At 50.0% G+C, this 9,378-nt stretch overlaps 1 protein-coding gene across 5 annotated transcripts, besides 6 other annotated features; it reads right to left on the minus strand.

Annotated features, from left to right (window-relative positions):
* On the minus strand, nucleotides 371-3,405 carry TINF2 (TERF1 interacting nuclear factor 2). 5 transcript variants are annotated; one of them, NM_001099274.3, is made up of 9 exons: nucleotides 2,872-3,354; nucleotides 2,621-2,725; nucleotides 2,406-2,507; nucleotides 1,935-2,042; nucleotides 1,751-1,847; nucleotides 1,150-1,606; nucleotides 994-1,061; nucleotides 795-886; nucleotides 374-662 (listed from the first exon to the last, which is right to left on the minus strand). In NM_001099274.3, the coding sequence occupies exons 1-9, from the start codon at nucleotides 3,061-3,063 to the stop codon at nucleotides 528-530; spliced, it is 1,356 nt and encodes a 451-aa protein (NP_001092744.1). In that variant the 5' UTR covers nucleotides 3,064-3,354; the 3' UTR covers nucleotides 374-527. The 5 variants fall into 5 exon arrangements, with proteins under 5 accessions (NP_036593.2, XP_011534944.1, NP_001092744.1 ...); NM_001363668.2 differs by lacking the exon at nucleotides 2,621-2,725; NM_012461.3 differs by having other exon boundaries at nucleotides 371-1,606; nucleotides 2,872-3,405.
* Nucleotides 1,593-2,122: an enhancer, noted in NCBI's record as "H3K4me1 hESC enhancer chr14:24710068-24710597 (GRCh37/hg19 assembly coordinates)". NCBI's record gives its function as "activates a minimal SCP1, AML or CMV promoter by ChIP-STARR-seq in naive H9 embryonic stem cells {active_cell/tissue: H9 hESC(naive)}" and the evidence as "EXISTENCE:reporter gene assay evidence [ECO:0000049][PMID:30033119]".
* Nucleotides 2,783-3,002: an enhancer, noted in NCBI's record as "active region_8199". NCBI's record gives its function as "activates an Ori minimal core promoter by ATAC-STARR-seq in GM12878 lymphoblastoid cells {active_cell/tissue: GM12878}" and the evidence as "EXISTENCE:reporter gene assay evidence [ECO:0000049][PMID:35858748]".
* Nucleotides 3,073-3,332: an enhancer, noted in NCBI's record as "active region_8200". NCBI's record gives its function as "activates an Ori minimal core promoter by ATAC-STARR-seq in GM12878 lymphoblastoid cells {active_cell/tissue: GM12878}" and the evidence as "EXISTENCE:reporter gene assay evidence [ECO:0000049][PMID:35858748]".
* Nucleotides 3,503-3,802: an enhancer, noted in NCBI's record as "active region_8201". NCBI's record gives its function as "activates an Ori minimal core promoter by ATAC-STARR-seq in GM12878 lymphoblastoid cells {active_cell/tissue: GM12878}" and the evidence as "EXISTENCE:reporter gene assay evidence [ECO:0000049][PMID:35858748]".
* Nucleotides 3,994-4,288: a silencer, noted in NCBI's record as "tiled region #7959; HepG2 Repressive non-DNase unmatched - State 1:Tss". NCBI's record gives its function as "represses a minimal TATA promoter and a strong SV40 promoter by Sharpr-MPRA in HepG2 cells {active_cell/tissue: HepG2}" and the evidence as "EXISTENCE:reporter gene assay evidence [ECO:0000049][PMID:27701403]".
* Nucleotides 7,654-7,853: an enhancer, noted in NCBI's record as "active region_8202". NCBI's record gives its function as "activates an Ori minimal core promoter by ATAC-STARR-seq in GM12878 lymphoblastoid cells {active_cell/tissue: GM12878}" and the evidence as "EXISTENCE:reporter gene assay evidence [ECO:0000049][PMID:35858748]".

Raw genomic sequence — 9,378 nt, forward strand, 5'->3', positions numbered from 1 at the left:
TAGCATCTGGGTGCTGCTGCAGAGTGGGTGGTGGTAGGGTCAGCACTGACCCAGTGGGGTCAAGAACAATGAGTATTATTCCCATGAAGTATCTCCATTCTAGTGCCACCACACCCAGATAATCTGGCAGCATGAGAATTTACAAAGTATATTCTGGCCTGAGGACACATATTTCCAGAATACCAAAGGACATTTCTCTTCCAGGCTTTCAACCCTGCTAACCCTTTTAGGCACAGCTGAACAACACTTAGCAAGGGAAGTAAAAAAAGGCAAAGGGATCCTTTCAGTTTGGAAGGGCCAGTTCTGTTTCTAAGGAATGACTTATGCTGACCTTATGGAAACCTTAATTCCCCTCCTTCACATCAAGGCAGTATTTTAACAAATCCAAAGTTTAATTATTAAGGATTACAAATATTTTTAGCAGTGTAGTTAGGCAATCCAAGCCTGGACTTCCACTTCATTCCTACTAAACTACTTGCAGAGCTGAGGAGGCAGGAGACTAGAGTACAGAGAGCATTTTAGTTCTATCACAAAGGTCTAGAACTGTCTCTACAGTCACAGGAAGAAACAGGTATGGCACCGTGGCCAGAAGGGGGTAGGTATTCACAGAGAGTGGGTATCAAGGTGTCAAACTTTGTCTTCTGATAGTTTTCCAGAGATTCCTGTAGAGAAGGGAGCAGGGAGAGCCTACTATCCGAAACCATTCCCTGAACCCTCTGAATTCTGAAGCATGTGGATTTCTCAGTCTTGTTCTACCCATCCCCTTTCCCAGCTTTCTGCTCCTTCCCACTCACCTTTCCTTCCCCCTGGCCATTTTCTTCCTCATCAGAGTCTAAAACCAAGTCCCCTATGGTAATGACGGAGCTGCACAGAGACGGAGGACACACTGTAGGAGGGAAACCAGAATCAAACTACTACTTCTAGATGAACACAGGCTCTTGAGAGTCCCCAAGAGAGGAGGCTGTTGATCCAATCCTGACTCAGACTACCTACCTGGCTTCCTGGCCCTAGGAGGTAATAATGATAGTCTCAGGGGGTCCATGTAGCAATCCAAGCAATTCCTGAGGTGAGAGCAAGCAAAGAGGATAGGATGAAGGGAAGGCAGGCAAAGAATGTGCTCCTAGTAAGAAGCAACTCTGTTCCACTCACTCCTTTTGCTCTGTGGCAGGCAAGTCAACTGGGTTCTCCTTCAGAGCCCTTCCCCCCAGGGTCTGGCATGGACTCTTAGACTTCCCAGTGGAGGCTGCTCTTGTGCCCATGGCTAGGTCTGCTGTGTATATCGCATGTTCTTCCTTGCTCTCAGGCTTAGATATGACCTGGGTTGGTGAGCCGAGATTCCTAAAGGGAAACAGCATGACTGTGGGGCGCTCCTTATGGCCTCCCCTAGTGGAGGCCCATTGGGACTGAACTCTTCGTCGGCCTAGAGGGGCCAGATTGAAGTGTCGGCCAGCTAGAGGTTCTGGGTGCGTCCTTGAAGATGGTCCCTGAGGAAGATGTGTGCCAGGCTTGGCTTTTGGCAGGGGATTGTGGAGTGCTAGTCTTTGTTGCTGAGGAGGATTCTGTTCCATGGGCTCAGCCAGGTTCACTGAGTCAGTAACAGAGCACTCTGAAAAAGAAAATGAGGCCCCTTATAAAGAGAACAGATAGTAACAGAATAACTGGTTTCTTATGCCCGGAGCCCATGGAACTATTCCAGTGGACTGCCTCAAAAGGTCTCAGGCTAAACACTACACCTCCAAATTCCTAGTACCTGGAAGCAGCCACCCCATGTCCACACCATATTGTCTCCAGGCAAGAGAAGAGGTGATAGAGACTCCAGGCTGCATCCAACTCAGCACATCCTGAAGCTGTGGGCAGGGACAGAGGTATGAAGACCACAATCCTTGAAACAGCCACCCCACACTCTGCCCTTACATGTTTTGCCCCAGCGAAACCTGCTGTGCCTGCGGTGTAGGCAGTGCTTTCTCCAGCTGACACAAGTACTCAAAAAGCAGCTTTTCCATGGCAGCCAGAAAGGGTTCCCCATACTCTTGTTCAAGTTCCTACAGCAGGGGAGATTAGGTCAAAAGTGGGTTAGTGGCCAGGCACGGTGGCTCACGCCTGTAATCCTGGCCATTTGGGAGGCCGAGGTGGGCGGATCACTTGAGGTCAGGAGTTCGAGACCAGCCTGGCCAACATGGTGAAACCCCATCTCTACTAAAATACAAAAATTAGCTGGGCATTTGTAATCCCAGCTACTCGGGAGGCTGAGGCAGGAGAATCGCTTGAACCCGGGAGGCAGAGGTTGCAGTGAGCCGAGATTGTGCCACTGCACTCCAGCCTGGGCGACAGAGCAAGATTCCTCAAAAAAAAAAAAAAATGGGTTAGAGAAAATAGCCACATAATAGCCTTCAAACCAGTCTCACCTGCAGCTTCGAGGCCAAATCCACAGGAGCCTCTGACAGCTGCTTCACCTGCTGGTAAAAAGTTTCCTGTGCCTCCAAAATCTTCCTCAGATCCTGCTTTGTCTGTTGAGGATACAGAAGACAGAGAAGTTAGCACCAACATCCAGTAGACAGGAGGAGCAACTTTGCTGCACCAAGTGTAACTGGGGTCAGGGCTTGTTCCGGGGATTACTCACAGCCTTGGGATCCCGCACTATAGGTCCAGATTCTGGAAAGTGGTGATTCAGGGCTTTCAGGACTTGGGCCCAAGGCCGGCCCTGCAGGATCAGCTCCACCACCACCTGTACGGTACTGAATTCAGAATCCCCACTTCGGGGCAAGCTGACCTTTTCCAACTAGTCTCATCCCCAAGCTGTGGGCCCTTGTCAGGTGCTCGCATCCCGCCCCTTTCTTTCTTTCCCCTTCCAGGTCCTACTTGCTCCAATACCTTGGCCTTTAGGCCCATACAAAGGCGTTCGTGGTGCCGGTAGCGAACCAAGCCAGGGGCAACAGCGCGCAGAGATCGCAGAAACTCCAGTACTCGCGGAAAATGTTCCACGCAGCGTCCGCGCACAACCTGCCAGCTAGCCGCGGCGGCGAAGCGTAGAGCTGCGGGACCCGCCACCAGGGGCGTAGCCATGGTCGGCGGGCTCCGCCCGGAGGCGGTCCCTCCGGGTTCCTCACCCGGATGGGTGAGGCTTTCCGATCACTCCTAGGGGCGGGGCTTCTGGCAACTCCCTGTCGCTCCGGTCTGTCGGCTCTGGGTACCTCGCGATCTGACTCGGCTCCCTTCCATCGGCCCCCAGAATTCTGGGGGAGGGGGTCTTCTGGCTCGGGCTGGAGGAGCCTGAGTGGAGAAGCTGACCGTCTCCAGTGGCACTGGGTCGCTCAGCTTTAAACGTCGCCGCTGTCTCGAGCCCGAGGGTGCCTCACTTCCGGCTCCGCTACTAGCTTCCCTTGCCCCGGAAAAGGGCGGTAAGAGGGAGCCAATGGGCGGCCACAGAGGGAACCGTGACGGTGCGTCAGAAGGCCACGCCCCAGCGGAGCTGTAGCTGCCCGCTTCCTGCACTCTCTGCCGGCTGACATGAGTTGGCGGCTGAGGCTGTCGTGGCCGCTGAGGCTGTTGTGGCCGTTCGTCTGGGTCCTCCCAGCCTTGCTTTCTTCGCGGAGCCTGCGGAGAAGCCCCGTCACTCCCGTGAGGCTCGACTTCCTAGTCTGTAAAACGAGGATCATGCCACCGCCCTTTCCCACTGTCTTCACCCATCGAAATTTAGTTCTTTAAATTCCAGACCCGAGCCGGCGTCTACAAAGCCTTCCCCTCTGCGCGCGTCGCTTCCAGTAGGAATTCGACTGTTCCTTTTATAAAACAGAAGAGGGCGCCCGCCCTTAAAAAATAAAATACAGGCTGGGCGTGGTGGCTTGTGTCTAATCCCAGCGCTTTGAGAGGCCGAGGCAGGAGGGTCACTTGAGCCCAGGAGCTCCAGACAAGCCTGGGCGACATGGTGAAACCCCTTCTCTGCTAAAAGTACAAAAATTAGCTGGGCGTGGTGGCAGGCGCCTGTAATCCCAGCTACTCGGGAGGCCGAGGCAGGAGAATCGCTTGAACCCAGTAGACGGGAGGTGGCAGTGAGCCGCGATCTTGCCTCTGCATTCCAGCCTGGGCGACAGAGGGAGAATCTCTCTCAAAGAAAAAAAAAAAAAAAAAAAGAGGAAGAAGAAGAAATAGAATACAGGCTGGGGGCACGGTGACTCACACCTGTAATCCCAGCACTCTGAGAGGCCGAGAGGGGAGGATCGATCCGCTTGAGCCCAGGAGTTCCAGACCAGACTGGATCACATGGCGATAACCTGTCTCTACTGAAAATCAAAAAAACTAGCCGGGCGTAGTGGCACGCCTGTAGTCCCAGCTACTCAGGAGGCTGAGTTGGGAGGATTGTTTGAGCCAGGGAGGTTGAGGCTTCAGTGACTGCACTCCAGCCTGAGTGATAGAGTGAGACGGGGTCTCACACACACACACAAATTAGTTTCTTGTTTTAGGATTCTGTTGTGCACTGAACTTGTCAGCCCCCTAATGTAATTGACTGCTCTCCTTGACTGTCTCTTCCACAGGCTTCCTGGTGCCTCTCATTTCCATCAGCAAGCACAGAACCTAACACACAGCTTACACTCCTTAATTGTTGGCTGGATTAGTTGCCTGCCTTGACCACCTTACAAGGATTTAGTGAAACTGCTCCGTCTTTAGCCCATGTCTTCCATTCCCAGAGATAATGGTTCACACATCCTTGTCTCCGCCCCGGATCAGTCTCAGCTGATCCGCACATTCGACTGCCCAAGAAACACCCAGTCCCAAAGTACCCCAAATTGGATATGTGTGAAATTCTAGTTATCTTCCTTTTTCCCTTTATTTATTCCTTCTCTAATGTTCTTTCTTTCTTATGTAGATATGAACTTCTGTTGTTTTACTTTTTTTTTTTTTTGAGACGGAGTCTCGCTCTGTCGCCCAGGCTGAAGTGCAGTGGCGCGATCTCAGCTCACTGCAAGCTCCGCCTCCTGGGTTCACGCCATTCTCCTGCCTCAGCCTCCCGAGTAGCTGGGACTACAGGCGCCCACCACCGCGCCCGGCTTTTTTGTATTTTTAGTAGAGACGGGGTTTCACCGTGGTCTGGATCTCCTGACCTCGTGATCCGCTCGCCTCGGCCTCCCAAAGTGCTGGGATTACAAGGCGTGAGCCACCGCGCTCGGCTCTTTTTTTTTTTTTGAGGTGGGGAGACAGTCTCGCTCTGTTGCTCAGGGTGGAGTGCAGTGATCTTGGCTCACTGCAACCTCTGCCTCCTGGGCTTAAGTGATCCTCCTGCCTCAGCCTCCAAAGTAACTGGGGCTACAGGCATGCACCACCATGCCTGGCTCATTTTTTTCTATTTTTTGTAGAGACAAGTCTTTGTTGCCCAGGCTGGTCTCGAATTCCTGGACTCAAGCGATCTTCCCACCTCGGCTTCCGAAAGTGTTGGGATCGCAGGCGTGAGCCACTGCACGCAGTCCCTGGCTAATTTTTTAAAAAATCTTTTTTGGTGGGTGTGGTGGCTCATGCCTGTAATCCCAGAACTTTGGGAGGCTGAAGTGGGAGGATCACTTGAGGCCAGGAGTTTGAGACCAGCCTGGGCAATACAGTGAGACCCTGACTCTACAAAAAAAAAAAAAAAGAAAAATATGTTTTGTAGAGAAGGGGTGTCTCTCTGTGTTGCCCAGCCCAGTCTATCTTCATTTTTTGTTTTTTGTATTTATCCTGCTTGCTGCTCTCTGAGCTTCCTGGATCTGTGTTTTGTGTCTGTCATTAATTTGGGGGAAATTCTCAGTCATTATTGCCACATTTCTTATGTTCCTTTATTTTCTTCTCTGCCATTCTGATTATGTGTATGCTACAGCTTCTATAATTGTCCTACAATTCTTGGATATTCTGTTCTTTTTCATTTTTTTTTCTCATTGCATTTCAGCTTTGGAAATTTCTGTTGACATTTCTTCAAGCGCACCATGTTCTTTGGCCATGTCCAGTCTATTGATGAGCCCATCACAGACATTCATCATTTCTGTTACAGTGGGTTTTTTTTGTTTTTTGAGACAATGTCTTGCTTTGTTGCTCAGGCTGGAATGCAGTGGCTCAATATCAGCTCACTGCAACCTGTGTCTCCCAAGTTCAAGCGATTCTGGTGCCTCAGCCTCCCAAGTAGGTGGTACTACAGGTCGTACACCACCACGCCCGGCTAATTTTTGTTTTAGTAGAGATGGGGTTTTGCCATGTTGCCCAGGCTGGTCTCGAACTCCTGACCTCAAGCGATCCACCTGCCTTGGCCTCCCAAAGTGCTAGGATTACAGGCGTGAGCCACCGTGCCCAGCTGAATTACTCATTTTCAGCTGCTATCTCTGTGTAGCTGACTTCTTGGGAGTCCGAGGCAGGTGGATTGCTTGAGCCCAGGAGTTTGAGACCAACCTGGGCAAAATGGCGAGACCCCCGTCTCTACAAAAAAAATTGAAAAACTAGCCAGGCATAGATGTGCACACCTGTAGCCCCAGTTACTCAGGAGGCTGATGTGGAAAGATTGCCTGAGCCCAGGAGGTTGAGGTTGCAGTGAGCTGTAATCCAGCCTGGTTGCAATGAATTGCACTCCAGCCTGGGCAACAGAGTGAGAACAGAATGCAATGGATGTATTTCAAAGTGGCTACTTTCCTCCTCCCCTTTGCCAGAATCACGGGGCAGGGGGTTCTCCAGTTTTCACTGTGGGATCCTGGTAAAACTTGTGGCCATGTGCCATGGCTCACACCTAGGATTGCTTGAGGCTAGGAGTTCAAGACCAGTCTGGGCAACATAGTGAGACCATGTCTGTACAAAAACAAAACAAACAAACAAAAAAATCTAAAAGTTAACCAGGTGACTGGGCGCAGTAGCTCACACCTGTAATCCCAGCACTTCGGGAGGCTGAGGTGGGTGGATCACAAGGTCAAGAGATCAAGACCATCCTGGCCAACATGGTGAAACCCGTCTCTACTAAAAATACAAAAATTAGCTGGGCATGGTGGCGCGTGCCTGTAATCCCAGCTACTCAGGAGGCTGAGGCAGGAGAATCACTTGAACCTGAGAGGTGAGGTGGAGGTTGCAGTGAGCTGAGATCGCACCACTGCACTCCAGCCTGGTGACAGAGCGAGACTCCATCTCAAAAGAAAAAAAAAAAAAAGCCAGCCATGGTGGTACACACCTGCAGTCCTAGCTATTTGGGCTGAGGCAGGAGGATTGCTTGAGCCCAGGAGTTGGAGGCTGCAGTAAGCTGTGATTGCACCACTGCATTCCAGCCTGGGAAAAACAAAAACAAGAAACAAAAAATAAAAAACAAAAACCAAAAAAAGGGTAGGGTCCCCCCTAAGAATGGGACCCCTAGATGTTTTGTTTTTTTTTTTTTTTTTTGAGACAGTCTCACTGTCGCCCAGGCTGCAGTGCAGTGTCGTGATCTCGGCTTACTGCAGCCTCAACCTCCCCAGGCTCAGGTGATCCACCTCAGCCTCCCAAGTAGCTGGCATTACAGGCATGTGCCACCACACCCGGCTACTTTTTGTCTTTTTTGTAGAGATGGGGTTTTGCCATGGTGCCCAAGCTGGTCTCGAACCCTTGAGCTCAGTGATCTGCGTGCCTCAGCCTCACAAAGTGCTGGGATTACAGGCATGAGCCACCATGCCTGGCCACTATAGATTTTTTAGCTCTCAAATTTGTCCACCCTAAGCCTCCAGCTATGAGTCAATTACACTTTAAGTTTTCCTACCCTGGTACTGGCTCCCCAGAAGTTTCTGTTTCTGTTTCTGTTTCTGGGCTTCTGCTGTTAAGTTGTGATTCTCTGTATCTGCCTTTTTGTCTCTCCAGTTTTAGGGGCAGCAGTTTGCCCTGTGCCCTCAATTCTCTGATAGATCCAACAAGAGTTGCTGACTTTCAGTTTGTTCAGCATTTTTCTTTGTGAGGACAGGAGTGAGGACTCCTAAGCTTGTTACAGGCCAGACTAAAAACCAGAGGTCGTTATCTTCATTTTTTTTTTTTAGATGGAGTCTCACTCTGTCGCCCAGGCTGGAGTGCAACCTCCACCTCCCGGGTTCAAGCAATTCTCCTGTCTCAGCCTCTCGAGTAGCTGGGATTACAGGCATGTGCCACCATGCGTGGCTATTTTTTTTTTTTTTTTGTATTTTTAGTAGAGACTGGGTTTCACCATATTGGCCAGGCTGCTCTCGAACTCCTGACCTTGTGATCCACCTGCCTTGGCCTCCCAAAGTGCTGGGATTATAGGCGTGAACCACCGTGCCTGGTCTACCTTCCCTTTTATAATATGGTCTTCCTCCTGAGCTTCGAATTTCTGTGCATGGCACCTCTCTTCGTGGCACCCATGAGTCAGAAACTCAGGCCACCACCCTTATCTCTGCCCTCCCTCCTCTCCAAATTGAATCTGTTATCAAGTCTAATCAGTTCTATTTCCTATACAACGTTCAAACCCACCCTTTTTTTTTCATTCGTACTGCTTCTACCCTAATTCAGGTTCTCCTATCTCTCATCCCAAGAGGACTCTATCTTCCTACCTCCAGCCCAACCCCTCTAATTTCTTTTCTATGTTGCTTTCATTATGAATCATGTGAAATGCAAAACTTGATCATATCATCCCTAATTGAAAGCTCCCCCTTACTTTCAGAAGAAAGTCCAAACTCCTAAATATGGCAAAAGGATTTTTAATGAACTGGCCCAAGCTTACCTCTTCATGCACATCCTTTGCCACTTTGTACTCATCATGCACCCATATGCCAGTCCTCATCCAGCTGTCTGCATTTTCCAAACATACTGTGTTGTCTCACATGTCTGTGCTTTACACGTGTTGGGTGATTCCTCTGTCCTTTGCCTCTTGGACTTGACTTTTTCTCATCTTTCATGGGTCATCTGGTAATCACCTTCATGAAGACTTTCTGTATCAGCCCAGGCAGAATCACAGTTCTCTGGGCCCCTCAGCATCCTGAACATCCCTCTACTACCATGCAGAACCTATCTCATAAGGTTATTGTAAGGATTAAATGAATTCATAAAGTGCTTGGAGCCTGGTTCCTGGTAAGTGTGACATACGCATTTACTGTATTTAGAATGTTTGCATGTCTGTCACCCCCACTGGACAGGAGCACCTTAAGGGAAGGGCTTGTTTCTTCTTGTGCATGTTACACTACTGATGCCTCAAGGTGTGCACCTTGTTCATGTGTTTACAGCTAGTAGGAACAGCTCAATTTTAGCTCTCTTTTTCCTGCCCCATGAGCCCTTTGTCTTGAAAGCCTTCTAAACTTAAAGGTTCAAGAAGACATGCGTTCAGGACCAGAATATCAGGTACATGATCTCATGGCTACTGCTAGCCCAAGAAGAATGCAGGCAGTGGGAATGCAGAAAAAAGAA

Source organism: Homo sapiens, chromosome 14 (genome assembly GCF_000001405.40).
Source record: "Homo sapiens chromosome 14, GRCh38.p14 Primary Assembly".
NCBI lineage: Eukaryota > Metazoa > Chordata > Mammalia > Primates > Hominidae > Homo > Homo sapiens.

Excerpts from the sequence above, each read along its gene's own strand:
- TINF2 (NM_001099274.3), bottom strand. The coding sequence starts at position 3,063 with ATGGCTACGCCCCTGGTGGCGGGTCCCGCAGCTCTACGCTTCGCCGCC. Across the intron at positions 1,062-1,149 it reads CCTGCCACAGAGCAAAAGGA|GAATTGCTTGGATTGCTACA; the intron begins GTGAGTGGAACA and ends CTCTCACCTCAG. Across the intron at positions 663-794 it reads ATGGCCAGGGGGAAGGAAAG|GAATCTCTGGAAAACTATCA; the intron begins GTGAGTGGGAAG and ends CCTTCTCTACAG.